At 35.3% G+C, this 23,841-nt stretch overlaps 1 protein-coding gene and 1 long non-coding RNA gene across 7 annotated transcripts in view, besides 1 other annotated feature; one reads left to right on the top strand and one right to left on the bottom strand.

Moving 5' to 3' along the window:
* Positions 1 to 23,841, bottom strand: part of LOC105377981 (uncharacterized) — a 58,946-nt gene that overhangs the window by 27,008 nt on the left and 8,097 nt on the right. The window lies entirely within an intron of this gene.
* Positions 1,426 to 1,626: a silencer, noted in NCBI's record as "peak6092 fragment used in MPRA reporter construct". NCBI's record gives its function as "represses an SCP1 promoter by STARR-seq MPRAs in K562 erythroleukemia cells {active_cell/tissue: K562}" and the evidence as "EXISTENCE:reporter gene assay evidence [ECO:0000049][PMID:32103011]".
* The window catches only part of TRDN (triadin), a 420,612-nt gene continuing 402,077 nt past the window's right edge, over positions 5,307 to 23,841 (top strand). For all 6 annotated transcript variants that reach the window (NM_006073.4, NM_001407315.1, NM_001251987.2 and 3 more), the window contains exon 1: positions 5,307 to 5,503. In NM_006073.4, the coding sequence (NP_006064.2) occupies positions 5,482 to 5,503 (22 nt within the window). In that variant the 5' untranslated portion in view covers positions 5,307 to 5,481. The remainder of the gene's footprint in view (positions 5,504 to 23,841) is intronic.

Below are 23,841 nucleotides of genomic sequence, written 5' to 3'. Positions count from 1 at the left end.
TCTCTCTCTGATATTATAAATCTCTCCTCCCTCATTCCTGTATTTTTTCCCTTAAAGGATAATCATGATCAAGACTCTTTGATCTTTAAAAATTTAGACCGTATCCTAAATTATCCCTAATTTAGCCTGTATCCCCATCTAATTCTTAATCCATTTCACTTCCCTGCTTTTCAAAAAAGCTTCCTTAAAGTGTATTTTAGTTTCATTCTTCATTGTGTGGTCTCTCATTTGCCCTTCATTCTGCAATTTGACTTCTGTATCTAAGGCTGCGTTGAAGTTGTCTTAAGGAAAGTATGATGACCATTTTATTGCTGTATCCAGTCCTTTTAAAAGGTAAATGTGATCACTTCATGTTCTTGCTTAAAAACACTTTATTGTCATCCTAAATCAGAGTTAAGACCAAACACCTTAGTATGACTTATGAGATACTTTAGTATCCATCCCTTTTTTATTCCCTTATTTCCTTATCTGTAGTTTCCTTACAAGTACCTTGTGACCAAATGTTACTGAACTATTTAAAGTTCATGATGCTTAGGTCTCTCTAATTTTTCCTGAGTTGTTTCCTCTACTTAGAAATTACGTCCTCAATCAACCATGTGTTTAAGTAGCTTCTTACACTTCAAGACTCAACTCCAGTATTTCCTTTCTCTTAAAGTTTTTCCTGGACTGTTACAACTTCTTTTCTGCCCCAAAAATGCATAGAGTTTATTCTAGAATTTAACACACTGCATTATAATGTTTAACTCTCTTACTAGACTATAAACTCCTTGAAGAAAAAAAAAATCCCTGTCTTAATTTTTGTTTCACTAGAACCTAGCCTAGTGCCCAGAGCAAATAGCTAATATAGATTTATTGAAGAAGGGGACTAATAAGTTGCATCATTATTAATAAGTAAGCTCACAAAATTGGTGACTCTTGGAGGTATTTAGTAATGATACACCAGATGCAGCAGATCACATTGTTGATAATGTGAAATAGCAAAATGCCAAGAACAAGATGACATTATAATTTTTTTCAAAATTAGAAATAGAAATATCCATTTAAATTATTTAAAAGAAAAAAATTTGTATCTAAGAATTGGTTATCAGATATTTTATTTTTTATAAGAAAAGCATTTGTGATTTTATAAGAAATAGAAAAAGTATAAATGATAAATTGCTTCTGAACAGCAACCAGGAACACAGACTGAAGGTCATATGTGATCGACTGCAGAATAGAAAGCAGTAATCTGAATTATGGACTCCACAGGGACCAACTACTGCAGGATACTGCAGATCTTCTTAAACAGGATAATGGTAGTGGACAGACGCCAGCTCTTCAGAGAATGGAATCTCTAAGAAGGAAGGGGCAACAAAGGCGATGGCCTTTGTTAACTAAAAACCAGATTGACAGAAAAATTTCTAAGAGAATGTTTGACAATGTCAAATGTGTGTGAGGAAAGAAGCCTGATATTGGAGACTCAGCTACTCATGAGTCAGAGTTAAAGAGAGGAAGGTTTTTAATTGCACTGGAATGCCTTCTGTCATTTGAAACGATCTGGATTACACAGTTTCTAAATAATCAGATGGTAAGCCAAACCTATGGAATGACTTTCAACCTTGATTAAAGAAATGAGCACAGGCCATTTAGAGATAGTAATGAGGGCAGAACGATATTTTCCGTGACACAAATAGAATACAAAACAATTTAAAACGAAGTGAACAACAGTGCTGAGATGAAGTAAGATTAATGAAATAATAGTTCAATAGAGGCTTTGCTTGTGATTCTGAATTCTAAGTTTATTAAATGTAAGCGTCAGAGAAATTTCTAGGTTATTTAATGTTATCTCAAGGTCAAATGAAGGCAAATAGTCTCACATTCACTTCCACTATTCCTAGTTTCTTCCATATTTCTTCATTTCAAGGGTTAAAAAGCCAACATTTATTCTTTACAAATTTAAATTGTGTTTGCCAGTTTTTCTTTACCTACAAAGCTGAAAGTAAACTTCTGTCTATTTTCCCTTGTGAGCTACTTCAACTGAGGCACTAAAACAGTAGCTTATATTTTGTTTGCTCTTAATTATGGAAGTTTTTTGCATCATGATACTCTGCCCTCTCCTTCTCTTTGTTGAAATCATTCCAGTTGGTTATTTTTGTCTCCTATTAAAATGAACCTGAAACCTTAGGTTTATGTGGAAGTTATGGCAATTATTATTTTAAAATCCAAGTAAATAGCTCTTTCTCTCCCAATTGTACATCCTACACATTTATTTGCACTCTGTTTAGACATGCTATATTGTACAAAGTGTGTTTCCATTATTTCCACTTACCACCAATTTGTGGGTAGGTTAGCAAAGTGTATAAGCCACTTGTGTCTGTAAATTAAGAAACAGAAAGCCTTGACAATAAACTCTAAAATTTACTTTCTCTCAAATATCCCCAGTCTCTGAGAAAATAAGTGAGTAATGGTAAATACCAATCTACACCCAACTATGTCTCTTTTTGCACATCATAGAGAAAACAAATCAGCACTGAAAGAGGTAATGCAGTATGGTTTGACTTTTTTTAAAAAATTAATTTTATTTTATTATGGTGGAAACAAATCAACAAAACTTCTCTGATTGCCTCCCAAATATTTTGCCATTTTGAAACTTGGTGTGGATGACAGTATTTTGCTCATAGCTAAATAGAATACATGTCTTATTGAGTGTTTATGATAATAGCAGACACAGGAGCAAGGTTTAAAAATTTCTCTAAGGGAGAATATTTTTATCTACTAACTTGAGTATTTAGAATAACTAGTGAATATTACAAGGGGTAATGATCAGTATAATCAGGTTGGAGATGCCCCTTGACCTAAATGCGACATTAATAGGAGAACAAATTTTCACAGTTTATCATTTACTTATATAGACTAGCTCAGTTATTAATGTCCTAATTTTATAAATATCCCTGTATGCAAAACTATGACAAGTCTACCTGTGCTGATTGTGCAGAAGTGGGATGTGAGAGTTATTCCAGGAGCTATTGCTGAGAAGAGAGAAATATCACTTTTGGGTCCTTTTGAAAGAGCTCAATGAACTGGTAACATCTCTTTAAAAATGAAGACCCTTTAAAAATAAAGAAGGGCAAATGAATCGTTTGTAATGTTTTATTCTTTGAGTTCCCTGAAGAGTAGGTGTACACACTTGTAAGAATGTCAGTTGCTTGGTTTCAGAAAGCTTGGCAGGGTTCCATTTGGAATTCAAAGACATACCTCATGAATGGAGTTTCAGATAAATTGAAAGAGTCCTAATAACTTTTCAAAATGAGAACCATGCCAATTTCTCACTGCCTAATGACATTCATCAACTCATCTCACAGAAAGGTTTGAAAAAGCTATTATCTTCAAAACATGTTTATTGTCTAGAATATGTTTTCTTTTATTTTTCCTTCCAGTATGTTTAACATGAAAATAGTGATTGGGAACTTAAGACTAACATCAATACTAGGAATTTAGTATTTCTTTTCTAGAGTCTTATTTTAACTTTTTATTGAGTAAAACTAGTTTGAAAAGTTGAGTTTTTTCCTGTTCCAGAGCCTAATTTTATTTAGGATCTGACCCATGAAAATTCTTAATGAGTTACATAAGATGTCATTCCTTCAGTTAACTACAATGAAAGATTATGAAAGTAACTGATGAATGGAGATATGAAGTGCTACGTTTTTCAAAACAATTGGAACTGCTGTGGCACTATTGACTGGAGATTCTTTGTGGGGGGCAATGTAAGGAGGGCTTTTCTCTTAGGATACCTCCTTAGACCAACCCAGAGCTCTGGGAAGCTGCTCTTGAGGATTTTGTATCTTTTCATCCCGCTAGTGGGCCTAATTTGCAGTGACCCCCTTTACCTTAAGTCATAGTATCTGCAACAAGGCCTCATTTCTTGGGGAAGATAGCAAACTTGTAGTTAAAAGGCTCTAGGCCCAGTCCTAGATATAGGAATTGAATAAAATCATGAATGTAATCATGTAATCATTTCCTCCTTGTAAATTAAGATTTGTTACTAATTTATGTATTCAGCTGGTAAATGAGCAACTTTCTATTGTGTCAGGAATGGGGGCAGTAGATTAAGACAGAACCACTAACAGGGAGGAGGTCATTGCCTATGGAAATAGCTGTTGCAGCACTCTTCTGAGCCTGAATTTTAAAAATAACAAACATGGCTTTGCTTCATGATCTATGAAGTACCATAGGAATTCGGGAGGTCTGAAAACGAAAAGTATCAAGTTCAAGCTAAAAGATTAAACTACAAGCATTTATTAGGTTGAATATGAGAATAAAATAAAAGTGTAGTCAACCCTTGATTATTCACAGATTGGCTAGAGTTTATGATTATCAATGCCCTTCGATTCTCCTTTTGCTTCCAACTACCAACTATTGAATATTTTTTTGCTCATTAACACCTGTCTAGGAGTGGGAAGGTGAAATGCTAATCAGCCAATTTGGTTAATTGTTAGTGGCTGCTATAATCCTTTTTTTTTTAAGTTGAGATAAGGAAATACTTTACTTAAATATTGGCTGTGGACTACTAAACTTTATGTCACCTTCCCTTCCTTTTTACTGCATGGATAAATGCAGGTATTTAGTTCTTAGTAAGGTAGTAGAGAGAATTAAAAAGATAGTAATTCATCAATCCAATGTTTTTCAAGTATCACACTATAAATTCACATTACATAATTCTTATTGGCCAGTGTTCAGAAAATATTAATCTTCTACAATATGACTACTTTAAAAGAAAGCTTCAAGATTTAATAGTTGCAATTTTAAGTGTAGCCCTATATAAATAACTGCACTTGCTAAGTGGATTTGTATCAACAGGAACATAACTTCTAGAAAATTACTCAAGACTACCCTCCCTTTTGCCTGTGATAGACATTTGGGACCCTCCCCAAACCAAATAAGGGAAAGAAGAATGTTCTGAGCATTAAGAGCACTAAGAATAAATCTGAGCTCTCACGGATAAGATTACTTTCAACTCTTTATTTCATGTTTTCTGACATAGACCCCAGGATCTGTAATTATCTTAGAGAAACTGCGGGGGCTTAGATGGTACTTTGTAGTTCATTTGGTTTTTTTTGTTTGTTTGTTTGTTTTTTGCCTTTCTCTCTTTGGGGCTGAAGAGCTGGTGTGTCTGTGTGTGTGTTCCTCTAGAGTGCCAAAAAAGAAAAAAAAAAGTGCTGAAGAGTCCTAGGGAGATGAGGCTATTTTTGTTTGAAGCTGATACTTCTAGCTGAGCCACAAGTGCTGCTTGGAAAGGGCTTAGGTTGTTTCCAGGGGGAGAACTCTGCAGAGGAGAGGCAAAGTTCAACAGGACAACAAAGAAGCAGCAGAAACAGCCAGGAAAACGAAGAGCCCCCAGGTTTTGACACAGAACCCTCCACCAGAGTTCTCAAATCCCCAAATACTCTGCAAAGTGCAACTTGACGGGAACTTTTCAACTGACTTTTACTTTTGACGACCACCATGACTGAGATCACTGCTGAAGGTATTGCTACCATTTTCCGATAGTATCAAGTAAGGAAAAAAAATATGCAAATCGACAGCCACATTAACTGTCGATGTGTCCATTTAAAATGTTGCTTTAAGGTAATTGCCTTGGTCAATGATTCTATACAGGATCTGAGAAGTGGATTTAGGAGCTGAGAGGCTGCCAGATCTGTATATTGGGGGAGCAAAAAGAGATTTCTCTTAAATTTTGCATGTGGAAACTGTTCTCTGCTATACCAAAGGCCCCACTAGTTAACAGTTGTTACTCACACCTCTATAAATAGCTATGGTCATGTAACATGATGGCCGATATCTTATCCAGCAAAAATTACAAAGTTTTCAAGGATGGAGACCATGATGAACTTAAAATATTACACTAATGCTTACTTAAAATATTACACTAATGCTTACTTAAACTTAAAAAGTAATTTGAAGCATTTCTGCTTTATGATATTTTTAAATGGAGACCTTAAATTTGTTTTTCCTTTCCTACTAGGGTATGTAAAACACACATACATATATATGATTTATATACAATTTAAGACATAAGTGTTCCCATAAAATTTGTATTTATTTGACCATTAATGGAAATTCAGAGATAAAGACTGGAATTCCACAAACTTACTGTGAATCAGTATGATTTTTAAAATAAAGCAATTAAGTGTTAGAATTCTGGTTCTTTTTGTAAATTCATTCTTCATTTTCCTCTAAATGGTAAATTCTATCTTTATGTTACAATAAATATTTTCTGTTTCAATGCTTTACTGAAAGCTACATACTATAATACATATCTTCTATTTGATGGTTGCTAGTTATATATATTTATATTTCATATATACTTCATATATATATGTACGTATTTCTTAGAATGAAGGAAACCTTCAAAACTAAATTACTTTGAATACAGACACAGTCTGGTTCTAGTTGAGGTAAAACTTTTGGAGGTGGATCTAAAATTTGCTTCTGACAGCTGTAAGAAAATCAGACAGGTGGTGCTCTTAACAACTTCCAAGTTAAATGCTGTGCTGGTTTGCTTTGAATAATACAACTGAAAAATAGAATATTTGTTTTTATTTTTGAGGGTAGAAATTAGTATGGACACACAGTAATTTCTGTTGGAGATTTTTAGTCAATATTTATAAGAAGTGCCTTATTTGTACCTTGCACTGAGAAATTCAGTCTGACACCTCGTATTAATAACAATTACTGAGAGATTTCTATGTGTTAGGTATTTTGCTCAGAACGTTATGTGTGTTTACTTATTTAAAACTGACACAATTCAATTAAGTAGGCATTATTATCTCAGTTTGGCAGAAAAAGGAACTGTAACTAAAATGTTATGTGACTTGCTCAAGACCAGCATTACCAACATTTAAACCCAGCCCCTTTAAATCTTGTTTGTGTGTGTGTGTGTGTGTGTGTGTGTGTTTTCTTTTCTGTGAGAGGATATCAGGTTTACTCTTTACCAATTTTAGTTCAGAATTTGCTAACTAAATATAAATAGCATTTTTCCTATTCCTTAGATATTCTGTGTCATGTTGCTTTTAGTTTGCCTTAAAGAAAGCTATGTATAAAAACTTCTTGTTTAGCTCTGCACAAGTTATTAAGATAGCTACGAGCGTCTTAATCTTCTGTTTCTCTACCTCTGTTCAGGGTTTGGGCTCCCAGGTGATTCAGGAGGTCAGTTGACTAAACCATCTTGGGCTTGCTTGTGGATTATGTTTTGTAGAACTTGCATTTGATTCAAAAGACTTTTTACAGGAAAATTCTTGATTATGAAATAGAGCTTTTGTTTCTGCCTTTGCTCTGCGGGGGTTTAAAAGGGCCTTGGAAGACCTTCTGGAGTTACCCATAAAAATAATTACATTAGTAATAAAATTAAAAAGTAGAAATACCATCTAATTCTTGGGTGATGGTCATTTTCCACTTCCGGGCCTTAACAGTTCATAGGATCTATGTTATCTGAACATCAATTATGCATTTTTTTTTGTTTTCTGGAATGATTTATTAATAATATTTCTCAAATGAAAATTAGACTGCCAACTCAAATGAACTCATCTTTTAAGGAAGCACAGTCATTCTTTGATGATATCCAAAGTTTTTTCACACTTTGTTACTACACAGTTTCATGTTATCTTTGCAATTCTCACCTTTTGTGCCCTAGCTACAATTGTCTTCCTCCAGTCTTTTATAAAAGGTATACCTTTGTACAGTGCCTTGGTACAGGCTATTTTCTGAGCCTGAAATAGTCTTATTTTATCTCATCTGCTATATTTTTTTCAACCATTTATTTATTTATTTTATTTTTTTTAGAGCAGAATTTTTCTCTGTCACCCATATTGGAATGCAGTGGCATGATCATAGCTCACTGCAGTCTCAAACTCCTGGGTTCCAGCAATCTTTCTACCTCAGCATCAGAAGTAGTTAGGACTACAGGTGTGCACCACCATGCCTGGCTAATTTTTTTTTTATTATTATTTTTGTAAAGACACGACCTCCTTATGTTGACCAGGCTGTACTTAACTACTGGCCTCAAGCCAAGATTCTCTTGCCTCTGCCTCCCAAAACATTGGGAATACAGGCAAGAACCATCACGCCTGGGGCTTGCAATCACTTTTGGACACATTACTGAAATGTAAGCACTCTATCAGTAGACCTATGCCACCTATCAATCAATTACCTTTTCCATCCATTTATCACGCACACACACAAAACAGTTTGTGGCACTTAAGAATATAAGAGATAACTCATTACCTTAGAAAGCTCTAGTTAACTGTTCTCATCTCAAGTTTTGGGAAGACAAGGCTCATACAGATTATATGACTGTCTCATGGTCATGGGAAATTAGGAGAGATCTGAGGATAAATTTCATGCCTCCCATGGCTCATCCCAGTGCTTATTCAACTACAGTGCATGTCGTGCCTATAACCTCACCTAGTTGCTCACATCAATTTCCACTGCAGGTTCCAAGCTGGCTTACTTCATCCAGTGGAAGAAAGGAAATAATGCTAAATACAGAATTGTGTTTCAGGTACAGAGTAATAGATAAATTAGAAATAGGACAAAGTTGAACTCCAAAGGATTTTAGGGTAATAACACCTTTGATTCTGGCAAAATAAATTAATAAAGATAATTATAACAGCAATGATAACATATTTATTCTGAAGACATAAGATGTCAAGCACTGTATTAAGCTTGATAAATATTCATTTAATCTTCAGGGCCACCAAATGAGAATAAAGGCTAATATTATTGCTGTTTAGAGAATAGGAAGCTGAAGTTGAGAGAGTTTAAAGAATGTGCTAGAATTCACACAACTGTATGTGATATAGCTAGGATTCATACCCATGCCTGACCACAGAGTCATATTGGATATGTCTTCTTACTGTGTGAGACTGTTAGGTTGGTCAATTAGGTTGTTATTGGAGCCTACACTAGGACCATGTTACATTTAGGTAGGTTGAATCAGGCCCAGACTGGATTACACTCAAACAGCACACAGGTTTAGGGCTATAAACAGTCCTTTATCTTCCTTGCAATGTAATGTATCCAAGTTGCTGGGAATCCCATATATAATTAACTTAGTATTTACTAGAACGCTTAGTTCAAGAAAGCTTTTTATTTAAAATGTTAGAAGAGCTTATATCCAACTCTCAACTTATAAACTATTACATAACCTCAGGCTTCAGGAGAAGAATTATTGCACTATGTGTGGAATTCTTTCCTTACCATTAGCCGAATCACGTTTCACTGCTTCTGTAACAATCAAACCTATGAGAAGATTTGATATTCAAAATTTAGAGCAAAAATGGTCATTTATATTCTACACACTGCATTACTCCCATAGAGTCTGCAGCACAAGATTACTCACTATTGCTCTCAAGAAAAAAAAAAAATCAAGAATTCACAGCCAGACTACTTAACAACTAGGCAAACAAGTTATATCATCTAGCATGACAGATGGTGAAATTATGAGGCGATCCAACCTATGTTTCTGCATTTACCTCATCAAAGCAAAGGGCAGCTGCCCTGGCTTAAGCGGGGATGAGCTGGGGGTACAAAGGGATGTAGCACTAGTTTCAAGCCCTGGTCACTTCCAGGAGATGTTCTTGATTTTCCTGATAAAGCAACATACCACATATATTATTTTTAGTCTTATAAGTACATTTTAAAACTGACATTAGAAAGCTAGCCTATTCAAAAGAGGAGTACCACGATGGTGAAAGGCACAGTTAAATGAAAAGATTTGTGCATGGTTTGTTTAAGTAGAAGACTGGATTTTTTCATTATGTAGCACTTGAGGGCAATGCACAGACCCATGGATAAAAGTCTGGAAGTCACAAAAAAGGCACACTATTGGCAAAATACAAGGCAAAACCCAACCAACCATTAAAATGATAGCTAGAACTGACTCTTCTGACTAGAAAGAAAGAAAAGAGAAAGCAAGAAAGGAGGGAAGGAAAAGGAAATACACAGCCTCCAATTTTTAAGAAATAGAGGGATGAGGAATATGCCAAAATCTACACCATAGTAGGCAGTAGGCTCTGGGAACCTCTACAGTACAAACAACCCAGTTACTTCAAATAAGTTCCTGGGAACAAGAACAAGAAAATCTGGAGAACAGATGAAAAGAAATGTAAAAAGTTAGCAACCCATCACAATGTATGGAATGGTTGGATCATGATTCAAACAAACAACCTTAAAAAATTCTGATGAAACAAGTGAAAATTTAATATACTCTGGATGTTAGATAACCTTAATGAATAATTATATTTTTAGTGGGATAACCGTATTGTGGTTGTCTTTTAAAATTACTTATTATTTGGAGATACACATTCAAATATTTATGAAGGAGGTGATGTGATATTTGAAATTTGCTTCTAAATAATATGCCCAAGAAGAAAGTAGTTGGGGTGTGGGTGGGGTAGGATTGGCCATTAGTTGATTATGTTGAGGCTGATAATGGGTACATTAAGTTTCATTATAATATTGTCTACTTTTGGGATTATTTAAGCTTCTTCACAATAAAGAGTTAAGAAAAAAAACAGAGTTGATGTTGTTAGTAGAGTAAATCTTTTAATAAGAATTTAATTTTCATAACATATATGGGTCAGTGAATTCTCTGGTCACCAAATTTATTCGTAAGTGCAAATTACTCTCTAAATTGAACAGTGTCTGTTGTTACTGAAATGAAAACCAAATATGCTCATATTAAGCAGAGTAGTCTGGAAATATACTTATGTTTGTAAAAGCAGACAAGGAAGTAATCATTTTTAATATCTATTATAATATGGGAATCTGGAGGTTAGTTTCATATTATTGGTAACATTAATTAGAGACATTAATTAGAAATAGTTTGTTTTTGAGATAGGTCATGGGAAAACCTGAGAACAATTTGAAAGCCTAAGAAGTCAACATGATGCAAGAAAAAATAGTTCTAAAAAGTGCTATGGCTTGGAACATTGCATTTATTGACAGGGTATTAAGTATGAAGCTTTTGTATGACTATCTCTTTGAAATATCACAAAAACTGTGAAAGGCAGGTATCACATAAACCTGATTAGTCTGACTCTGAAACTTCTTGTTATTCTTTACTGCTCAAGTTCACTTTAGGAAAATAGAAAAAAAAAAAAAAGCAGATTGTGAAAACCAGGAGAGTATAGTTCACTGAAAATCAGAGAGAAAATATAGTGCAGAGCTGGGAGAAAGAAGCATTAAGAAAAGAGAGTGTGATAGAGTAGTAAGTGCATGGAGTTTTACTTAAGTCAGAAATTGGGGTTCAGGCACTATCTCCACTACTCAACCACTCTTGGTCTGGGGAGGATGGGGCCTCAAAAGAAGGGTCATGAACTTGGTTAATTAAAAATAATATGGCCAGAGGAATTTTTAAAAATTTTACAAGATCATGCTATTTGGCAAATTAAGTTTATGTTTTTTAAATTGTTCAAATCATCCATGATACAAAATTTGCAGTGACAATGAGCAGAAAATATAGCTGTGTAGTGTCAGCCCTTGTTAGGTTCCGTTAAGAAGCTTTTTCTTGTAGTTTTTATTATTATTTGTAATAGGAACTATTTTTCTCCCCACCCCATAAGCACATAGTATCCATGAAAATGTTCCGTTTATGAGCTTAAATGTTTCTTATTTTTTTTCCTATTTATTTTTGGTTATCATTATGACTGTAATTTAAAATTCATGCTACTTTTACAATGCAAAAATGAATTGAGGCTATTCAGTTATTATACTAAAGGCTTAGGAATCCATAGAGACTTAAGGCCTCCAATACTGTTGGCATTAATTTTTAATCAGTTAACAATATTTAATATGAGAGAAACATAAAACAGTGCAACTAAGCAATTTTAAAATCATCTACATTGACCTTTGTGTTGAATATATCAATTTGAAAAGAAAATGGTTAAGATTTTCCAGTAAAGCTTTTGGTTTTATAGTTATGCTTAGTTGGAGCTTAAAGATAGTATTAAAACATTATTCTTTTCTTCTTTCAAACAAAAAGAAACCCGTTGGGGACATGTTTAATGTATTTTTAAAAAATACATATTATCTAATGTAACATATTTAAAAAGAACAAAGCAGGGGAAAAATCTTCATCTGGCAACTATGCATTAACATCATACAATAATGTCGACTTTACGGAGTTCAGGCTCCATTTTACTTAAAGTTCTAGGAAGATTTGTCAAGGTTAAGTTTTTGCTGTCTCCAGTTCCCACCTGCCCTGGATAATACGAATGACAGGCTTGGTTTTTTACAGAGAATACTTATTTGATTGTCATGTAAATATATATTACCCCTAGTGAGGGTTATGCAGAGACAGATGAACTTCCTGGTCCAAACAGATAGTAATTTTTATCTTCAAAGGAAACCAAAAAGAGTATCCTTGGCAAATGTGCAATGAATAAAGTCTTGCTCTGCTCTATACAAGTTAATGCTCTCTAAACATCAAACATCTCCACATCTCCATGCCTGAAGTGAAGCTGTCAAAGACACACAGAATTTACAATTGTGAGAGATTCTTTGGTATGTAAATGAGCTGTTTCCTCATAAACTGCAGACTCTATCTCACTTACAATGTACTTTAAATATTACATTTAAATATATGTGGTTTAGATATTTTCTAATTTGTTATCTGTGCCAGAAGCTAGGGCATGTGGTTTTCACCCAAACAAGTTAAAGACATGATATTTTGACCTATAAGAACAAAGATAATTTAAATGGAGCAACCTGTTCTTTATAGGGGAAACTTGGTTTCATTTAGACAGCATGAAGCTGGAACTCATTGTGACAAACCAGTTTTATCTTTGCTACGCATTTGCTGCATCATTCTCCCCTCCCTGACACAGGTTACTGAAGTGTTGAGAAAAACAAAAGAAGGAAAAACTCTTAGTATTTCAAACTTAGTTTTAATATGGTCTAGGGCATTAGTGAGCTCGTGGATGTGAGAGATTCAGTTTCCATTTATACAGACGTTCAAAATACATATTTAGCAAACTTTCCTTGGAAAATTGTCTGTTGCCTTTGAAAATAAAATTATCATGTGATTAGGGGAATTTTCTGTTTGAGGAAGACATTTAATATAATGTCAAGACAAAAATAAGAGATATGAAGTGGCACTTCTCTGACATTCACTGCTGGAGCTATTATTTTTGCCCATGGTTATTCTGATTTAACCTATATATTATTGACTAGGGGAAAAAGCGTACTGTAAAATCTGAAAGTTACTACAGTATAGTAAAATGCCAAGTTTGTGAATTTAAATCTGCAGAAATATTAGGCATTGCATTTAGAAAAAGGCAAGTTACCTCCATCTGAAATATAACAAAATTTTAGATTCTATGGTATTAATTATCATCCTAGATGTAGATTTATGAAGCAGTATGTCATGCCAGAGGTTTGGTTTTATTCAATATTTTAATACCTATTACGTACCAAATTGAATGCCTGACAATGTGGACACAAAAATGAATGATAAAAGGTCCCTGCTACATTGCAAAACAAAAAGAAAAGAGCAAAAAATAACAGTGAGAATAAAGACTGGACAGATTATAAAACATTTGATTCCAATTTGAATTGCAGCCATGTCTCTTTTTATTGCACTTTGCTTTATTGCATGCCACAGATATTGCATTTTTCAAAGAAAATGAATAAAGCTATCACCACCATTTTTCCAACAGCATGCGTTCATTTCCTGTCTCTGTGTCACATTTTGGTAATTCTCACAGTATTTCAAATGTTTTCGTTATTGGTATGTCTGTTTCGGTGATCTGTGACCATTGTTCTTTGATATCAATATTGTAATTGTTTTAGGTCACCACAAGCTGCCCCTATATAAGATGGTGAATTTCATCAATAAATATGTGTGTTCTGACTGCTCCAACAACTAGACATTCCCACTATCTCTCCTTCTCCTCAGGCTTTTCTGTTCCCCGAGACACAACAATATTGAGATTAGGAAAATTAATAACCTACAACAGCCTCTAAGAATTCAAGTGAAAGGAAGAGTTGCATATCTTTACTTTCAATCAAAAGCTGAAAATAATTAAGCTTACTGAGGAAGGCATGCCAAAAGCCAAGATAGGCTGAAAGCTAGGCCTCTTGCACCAAACAGCCAAGTTGTGAATGCAAAGGAAAAGTTCTTGAAGGAAATTAAAAGTGCTACTGAACACATGAATGATAAGAAAGTGAAACAAACTTATTGCTGATGTGGAGAAAGTTTTAGTGGTCTGGATAGAAGATCCAACCAGCCAGAATTCTCTTTCAGCCAAAGCCTAATCCAGACCAAGGCCCTAAATCTCTTCAATTCTGTGAAGATGTGGAGAGGTAAGGAAGCTGCAGAAGAAAAGTTGGAAGCTAGCAGAGGTTGGTTCATGAGGTTTAAGAAAAGAAGCCATCTCCACAACATAAAAGTGCAAGGTGGAAGCAGCAAGGATTGATGTAGAAGCTGCAGCAAGTTATCCAGAAGATCTAGCTAAGATCATTGATGAAGGTGGCTACGCTAAACAACACATTTTCAATGTAGACTAAACAGTCCTCTATTAGAAGAAGATGCCATCCAGGACTTTCAGAGCTAGATAGGAGAAGTCAATGCCTGGCTCCAAAGCTTCAAAGTTTAGGCTGACTCTTGTTAGGGAATAATGCAGCTGGTGACTTCAAGTTGAAGCCAATGCTGGTTTACCATTATGACAATTCCAGGGCTCTAAAGAATTACAATAAATTTACTTTGCCTGTGCTCTATCAATGAGATAATAAAGCCTGCATGACAGCACATCTGTTTACAACATAGTTTACTGAATATTTTAAGCCCACTGTTGAGATTTACTACTCAAAAAAAAAATTCTTCCAAAGTATTTCTGCTTATTGACAATGCACCTGGTCACCCAAGAGCTCTGATGGTGATATACAAAAAGATTAATGTTGTTTTCGTGCCTAACAGAAGATCATTTTTGCAGCTCATGGCTCAAGAAGTAATTTTGATTTTCAAGACATTTTTTAAGAAATACATTTTGTGGGCCAGGCTCGGTGGCTCATGCCTATAATCCCAGCAATTTGGAGGCCAAGGTGGGTGGATCACCTGAGGTCAGGAGTTCAAGACCAGCCTGGCCAATGTGGTGAAACCCTGCCTGTACTAAAAATACAAAAAATCAGCTGGGCGTGGTGGCAGGCACCTGTAATCCCAGTTACTTGGGAGGCTGAGGCAGGAGAATTACTTGAACCCGGGTGGTGGAGGCTGCAGTGAGCCGAGATCGTGCCACTGCACTCCAGCCTGGGGAACAAGAGCAAAACTCTGTCTCAAAAAATAAAATAAAATAAAATAAAATAAAATAATAAAAAATTAAAAAAAACATTTTATAAGGCTATAGGTGACATAGGGAGAAATACCTCTTATGGATCCAAGCAAACTATATTGACAACTTTCTCAAGAATTCACCATTCTAGATGCCATTAAAAAATATAATTTTTACATTACAAATTTTTTTATTTTTATTGTTATTATTATACTTTAAGTTCTAGGGTACATGGGGAATTGAACAATAAAAAATATTTTTGATTCATGGCAGGAGGTCAAAATATCACCATTATGTAAAAAGTTGATTCCAACCCTCATGATGACTTTGAGGGGCTCAAGACATCAGTGGAGGAAGCAACTGCAGATGCAGTGGAAACAGCAAGAGATCTAGAATTAGAAGTGGAAGCTGAAGATGCTGTAATCTCATGATTAAACTTGAATGGATGAAGAGTGACTTTTTTGTTGTTGTTTTTTTTTCTTTTGAGCCAGTGTCTAGTTCGGCATGCACTGGCACAGTCTTGGCTCACTGCAACCTCTGCCTCCTGGGTTCAAGTGATTCTCGTGCCTCACCCACTGAGTAGTGGGATTATAGGTGTGCATCACACTGCCAGGCTAATTTTTGTATGTTTTTGTAGAGACGGGGTTTCACCATGTTGGCCAAGGTGGTCTTGAACTCCTGGTCTCAAGGGATCCACCCACCTTGGCCTCCCAACGTGCTGGGATTACAGGCATGAGCCACCATGCCTGGCCTAGGAGGTGCTTTCTATGAATGAGCAAAGAGAGTGGTTTCTTGAGATGGAAGCTACTCTACTCTTAATGGAGATGCTGTGAACTTTGTTGAAATGACTACAAAGGATTTAGAATATAACATAGAGTAGAAGATAAAGCAATGGCTGGGTTTAAGAGGATTAACTCTGATTTCAAAAGAAATTCTCCTATGGGTAAAATCCTATCAAACAGTGAATGTCACATACTACAGAGACATCTTTCATGAAATGTGGAGTCCATCGATGTGGCCAACTTCACTCTTGTCTTATTTTAAGTAATTGCTTCAGCCACTCCAACCTTTAGCAACCATCACCCTGATCAGTCAGCAGCCATAAATATTAAGGCAAGACCTTCAATTAGCAAAAAGATTATGACTCACTGAAGGCTCACATGATTGTTAGTATTTTTTAGCAATAAAGTATTTTTTATTTTCAATCTTGTTGGCTCAGAGTAGGTGTATATATTTATGGGATGCATGAAATATTTTTATACAGGCATACAATGAGTAATAATCACATCAGGATAAGCGGGGTATCCATGACCTCAAGCATTTATCCTTTCTTTGTGTTAGAAACAGTCCAGTTATACTCTTTTAGTTATTTTTAAATGTACAATGAATTACTGTTGACTGTAGTCACTATTGTGCTATCAAATGCTAGATATTATTCTTTCTAACTATATTTCTGTACCCATTAACCATCCCCACCAACAAAGTATTTTTAAATTAAGGTCTTACACTGCTTTTTAAGACATAATGTTATTGCACATTTAATAGACTAGAATACAGTGCAGACATAACTTTTATATACACTAGGATACAGAAAAAAAAATGTGTGATTTGCTTTCTTGCAATTATTTGCTTTATTGCATGGTATCTCCAAGGTGTGCCTTATGGTGTTTGATGTAAAGAATGTCATATTATTGTTCATAAATCTTATGATTATTTCACTTTGAAACTTGCTGAAAATAATTTAGTATAACTAAAGAATGTCCTATTCTTAACACTGGTAATTCGCAGTGCACATGACATTATTGTGAAGGTGTAATGATTTTTCAAGGAGTAAGGAGATCAAGAGTACATTTGATCAATGCAGAAATGACAAAAAAAAAAAAAAGAGACAGGAAGTAGGTGAGAATTAGTAGTCTGTGGGATGTAGCCCTGGGATGACTGGGATACCAACTTACCTTGCCAAGAAATTGGGTAAAATTCCTGATTTAAATACTAAATTTTCGGTCAGGCACACTGTTGCTATAATACTATAAAAGCTGGATGTTTCATGTTTCTGATTCGTTTTTAACAGTTATTATGTTTCCTAGTTCCCTGTCATCCCATCTGAGTGTTCTCCCATTATTTGAACCTCTATTGCTGATTTCCATCCCCACATACGCTACTTTGAGCTTACTTTGTATGTATAGAGACCATTTCCAGTTCATGAAGAAATAAAAAAAAATACCAACTGTCAGAAAGGTAATCATTAAACGAGTTTCTTCTGGCTTACAAAGAAGAATCAGTTGCTACAGTAAAACCAAATCTGTTGGCAGAGTTGTTCTAAATACTATGAGAACTAGTGGTCAGGCCAGTGGTCTTGTCAAGAGTTGCTGTAAAAGCATGACAGGGTCCATAGACCAAGCCTCTGAAAATGTGAGCAGAAAGTACTTAGGGTAGCAGTAATGACTAGATTAAGGCAATAAGTCAGCAGAATTCTCTAGGGCCTTTGTTCATAGTGACTGAGAGTTATATTAGAAATAATAGTTCTGACAGTTTCCGGAAAATTTTGGCTACCTCTTGAATTAAGTAGACCAGATTTCACTGCTCAGTTTCTGCCCAGTCCCTCAGGATTTGAAGTGTCTTGTTGGTCTGGCTAGAATGATGTGCTATACTATCGTGGTATGGGTCTCTGTTTTTGAGGGACGTGAGCTCTCAATACCCAGGTGCTTTGAGACATAGTATTTTATCTTCTTCCTATCACTCTGTCATTTACCTGTGGATGGAGAGGAATGAAAAGTCTGACCCCCTGAGTGATAAGCATGCACCTAACAAACATCACTTGTATATATTTTTGGTATCTACTTTTGCCAGGTACTGTTTTAATTCTAAGGATGAAATGTAAAATATACAGAAATCTAGTCCTCAAGAAATGATGAGATAATTGTATATGTAACTCTCTGACACTGGGCTGCCAGTTCAAAGTTTCTTGAAAGAAGTATGTATAAAGTTATATACAAAAATTGTGAGATAGGTTTCTTGGTTTCTTGTCAAATTTAAAATAGACAATGTTTACATGTATAAAGCTATTAGGGAATGAATCAATATAAAACAAATAAGCAAATCAACTGATGAGATATTAATATTGGGAAAATCTAAGAAGCTAGGAGAATGGATGGATTTGGTTGGTCAGGGACTGACATAAAGGAGGAGAACTTATGTTAACATTTGAAGAATGTTTCTAAATTAAAGGACAGGAACACAGAAGAAAGAGCAAAGAATTAAGTTTTTAACAACATCCCTAGATCCTAAAAATTCCAGGTTAATTCATTTTAGAAACAAGTATTTGATTTCTTAAACTAAATTAATAAATATGGTGATCTTGGGTTCAGTGAACCAAGCTGAAGGAGACACACTTTATTGGCATTCAGGGTGGAAAAATTTGTTGCAACGATCTTCCCTAAAGATTGCAAAATAATTAGTACCCAGTAGCACCTCTCACCATAATTTTGACTCCATAAACACCCCCAAAATTTTCCTATCAGAGATGATAAACTACACCACAGTTAACAAGAACATAAAGATGAGTATAGATGCTAGTGGTAGCTTCAAAGGAGATGGGATTGAAATCCTCAACTATGAGAAACTCTAAGCTTAGTTATCTTTCAATTTTATATATAAGATTCTTTTTATGTCAATAGAGGGGATTTGGATTGGTGAGAAGGTCATTTTGCTTCTCCAATCAGTTATTTGTTTGCCTCAATTTGCTACTTATAATTCTATAATAGAAAGGGAAAAAAAAAGACAATAACCTCAGGGAAATACAGGGCAAAAAGATTCACAAACTAAATGGAATGACATACTTCCCTCTTGAGAAAAATCAGTGAAAGGTGATGACTTATTTTCTGTGTCCTTGAGCTAACTAATGAGTTGCAAAGTGACAGCATAATTTGAGGAGAGGCACAGGTGGAAGCAGTTCTGATGGGTAAAGTGAAAGAGAGTGCTTTGCAAAATTGCCCGATAGAGTTTTACACAAGCTAAATAGCAAACCTCAAGGTGGATTACATTTCTTTTACTTGAGAGTCACCCAATATTTTGTCATAGTGAACTCTACATGTGCTTAGAGTACCTCCAGTGTTTCTTTAATCCTTTGCAATACTATCATGATGACAAATGTATTTTCAAATCATATAAAAACTTGCTTAAAATTAAGTTGTTAGGTAATACTGAGCTAGAGGCCAAAATGCGCAAGAACTCTATATACAAGTGTAAAAAGAATTAGGACACTGTGGTGATTACTGAATAATGCTGTCCCGCTTAGTTTTCAAGAGAACAGCCGTCTCCTCAGTTCAGTGTTTAAAAACATACTATGAGTCATCATAATTTTTAAAATATTTTTCTTAAAAATTCATTTTAGTAAAATACAGACTCTGAAAGTTTCATAACTCACATATGCGGTTGACTCTTGAACAACACAAGGGTAAGGACACCGACTTACCAGTCGAAAATTCACATATAACTTTGACTCCTCCCAAAACTTTATTAATAGCCTACTGTTGACCAGAGGCTTTACCAAAAACATTGTTGATTAACACATATTTTGTATGTTATATGTGTGTGCGTGTGCCTGTGTGTGTGTGTGTGTGTGTGTGTGTGTCTGTATATATATATAGAGAGAGAGAGATAATTACAATGAAGTAAGCTAGGGAAAGGAAAATGTTTTTTAAGAAAATCATAAAGAAGATAAAATATATTTAGTATCCATTTAGTGGAACTGGATCATCATAAAGACCTTCAATTTCATCATCTTCACATTGAGTAGACTGAGGAGGAGGAAAAAGAGGAAGGATTGGTTTGCTGTCCCAGTGGTGGCAGAAGCAGAAGAGGTTAAGGAGTTGGAAGGGGAGGCCAGAGAGCCAGGCATATGCACTATAACTTTCATTTAAAAAGATTCTCACGTAAGTGGAACTACACAGTTAAAACCCATGTTGTTCAAGAGTCAACTGTCTTTATATATCATTTACTAAGGAGTAATGGAGTTGATATCCACATAACCAACACCCAGATCAGGGAACTATTTCCAGCACATGGGAAGCCCATATTCATCTATCCATACTTTGACTCTCACTTTGGTGTCGCTTCCCAATTAAGGCTCCTCTTTCTTTGAACTTTCCTCTCCAGGGAACCAGCTTTTTTGGTAATGGTTTTCTTTCTTTGCTTTATAGTTTTATGACCTCAACATCGATAAACAACATAGTTATGCTAAGTTTGTTCTTTATATAAATGGAGCACCATGGCATGTATTGTTCTGTGTTTTGCTGCATTAATTCCTCATTTTGTTTATAAGAGTCATCTATGTTGTTGTATGTAGCTAGAGTTTGTTATTTTTCTTTCTGTACAGTGTTTCATTGCATAAAAGTCACTGTTTATCCAATAGATTTTTGTTTCAATTGGGGGAGGCTATGATGAATGATATTTTTATGTTCTTTTTTTAGTTTTAATATCTATTATTCTATTATCAATGTATGTTTATTTCATGGCACTATGTTCTATGGTGAAAAGTTGAATTCAGCATGAAGAAGACACCTTGCTCACTCAAACTGGATTGTTTAAATCTAATTGGAAAATGTGGAGAAAGGGTGACCTTGTGGGTGTCTCCTAGAAACGTCCTGTTTTTTAGAAGAAATTGATCTAGTCTCACAAGATATATAAAATGGATGTTTGGAGGAGCAGAGAGAAAATGAATAGAATCCTAAGGACTTCTCAGAGTTTTGTCTCTGAGATAGTAATCCTCACCGTATAGCAACCCCTTTTTGAGACTGTATGGGCAGCAATGTAAAAATTGACATGTAGAGTGAGGCATTCAACTAATATTGATTGAATGTCATGTCCTCATTGCCAAGCATTTTACTTGGAGCTGGACCAATAGCAGTGGACAAAAAAGGTCCCTATTTTCCTGCTTCTGTCAGAACACTCCATGACTAGAATCTCCATTGTCACTAGGTTCTGCACCTTGCTGTCCTGGGCACTGGTGAGAGCAACTGAGTTTTTGCTTGTTGAGGCTCCTCCTTCTAGGATCCTTGGTACACTTTTATCCAATGGACATCATCTTTAATTTGACTTGCTGGCTTTATTAGAATATTGCTATTGTTAACATTCAGGCAAAACTTAGGTTTCCACTTCTATTCTTCCTGCTTTTAGATGAAGATTGCCCATCTTTAAAAGGTGACAACTTCAGGCAGTTAATTTTGTCCACTTTAGTTTAGTTTGCTAGCTTAAGCTCTCAGAAATTATTCAATATTCAATTTAACGGAAGGAGGTTTTACTGAGGTGGAAAGCCTAACTCTGCCTCAGTGTGTGAGAAAAGAAGGATTAAAAGATAATCTATCTCCATTTATCTATATTGTATTACCTCCAAAAACGAAAAAAAAATTCTATTTGTAAAACTCTGTGAAGAGCATGGGTATACTAGGCATTCTTTCCTGTTTTTTGATTTGGGTCAAAATGTATGAATGCATGTGAGCTATATGGACATAACAACTTTGAGAAAATTCCGAATAAGTTTTATTCTCCCAGATCAGAGTTTGTCAGTGTGTAGTCCCCAGACCAGCAGTGTCAACATCACCTGGGCACTTATTGGAAAGGGACATTACTGGGATACATCTCAGACTTTTGGGATCATAAACTGTAAGAGGAGAGTATGGCCTAGTGATCTGTGTTCTAACAAACCTTTTAGATCATTCTGACACACGTTGAAGTTTTAAAGCCGCAACCCTAGTTAACTACATATAGACTTTAAAAACAAATTCCCTACTAATTCCAATTAATTAGGGATAAAGATCCAAATCAATCATGTAGTATAGTGGCTTAAAACTCACAATAACAGAGGATTCTTTTCATGATAAATTTGTGATCATGCACAAGAAGATTCTTTTCATGGGCAATGGAAATCTGAAGAATGGAGATGGAGGAAAAGAAATCAAAGAGAGAAACTATTTGCCTGGAAGAGAGCAAAAGTGTGTGGAGGTCAAGAGCCCAACATGTGCACACTGAAACTCATGAAATTTTCCCCATAATCAGCTATTTCTCTGGACCTGCAGGGTTCTGTTTTTTTATCTGTATGCACAGTCTCTAAACTTTGGAGTCCTCATTTCTTGTATTCACCTTTTCCTTTTTCTTCTCATTTAAACTTCAGTTATTTTTTAAATTAGAACTCCTGTTCTAATTTAAACTCCTGTTATTTCATATATGGATGTCTGTATGTGACAGATTGTATTTTTCAAAAGTGGCTGCAGCAAGATTTCCCATCTCATGTGTTCTTCTTATACTGTGATCTTGACTCTTCTTCTCTTGAGAGGTGAGGTCTACTTTTCCTCCCGTTAAACACAAACAGACTTGTATAACAGCTTCAACAAAGAACATACAGTGAAAATGACTTCCAAGGTTAGATCATAAAAATACCAGACATATCCAGGTTGCTGGTTTGGGATACCTGCTTTTGAAACTATGCTGTGAAAAAATTAAAGCAGCCTGGAGGCAGGCCCATAATGAAAGAGACCAAGACCTTGACCTGCAAACCCAGCCAAGCTTCCAGCCAACAGCCAGCACCAACTTTCCAGCAATGTGAATGAGTCATCTTGATAATGGATCCTCTAGTCCCCAGTAGAGCCACCACATGTGACAACTGTGGAGCAGAGGCAGGCCATACCTGCTGAACTCTAACCAAATTACAAATTTCTGGGCAAAATAAATGATTACAGTTGTTTTAGGCCACTAAACTTTGGAATCTTTTATTATGCAGCTACAGATAATACATTATATTAGCATTTTTGTAATCTCCTCACTTCTAATGTATCTTGCAATCTTGCACACTAAGTTCATAATACTACATTACCCAATGAATAATGGTAACTTATTTAGTGTACAGTTGTTTCAGCCAAATTCAACATGACGCTAGGCAATTTTATAATTGTTATACTTCTTCAGTTTCATCATTGATTTATTTACACATTTATTCCTTTAGTAAAATATATTTAATAAATGTTGATTATTATAATAAAATGTTTGAGTTACTGGAGAGAAATTCATAAAAAAGAACAAGGAAGAAGAGGAGGAGAGAGGGGAGAAGAAGGAAGAGGATGAGAAAGAGGAGGAGGAGAGAAAAAAGCAGATTCTCAACTAAGGTTGTCACACAACTTGACAATTTTGCAAATGTGAATGGGCATTTTTTAAATTAGAATGCCCAAAAGATACACGGTTGTGAGCCATGGATTTTGAGCAATACTTAATTTCACTGAGCAGGCCTAAACAAACTGTGCATAAGAGAGTGCTCACACAATGTCTACTGATGAAGAGTAGTGAGAATATTGGTTGTGGTATACAGAATAATTGTCCCCCAAAATATTCATGTCCTAATCCCCAGAATCTGTAAATATGTTACCTTACCTGGAAAAGAGAATTTGCAGATGTGGTTTTATTAAGAACCTCGAGCGGGAGAGAGGACCCTGAATTATCTGGGTGGGCCCAATAAAATCACGGAAGTCCTCAAAATTGGAGAACT

Source organism: Homo sapiens, chromosome 6 (genome assembly GCF_000001405.40).
Source record: "Homo sapiens chromosome 6, GRCh38.p14 Primary Assembly".
Lineage (NCBI taxonomy): Eukaryota > Metazoa > Chordata > Mammalia > Primates > Hominidae > Homo > Homo sapiens.
Note: the sequence above shows the minus strand (reverse complement) of the source record. Positions and strands in the feature narration are given on the sequence as shown.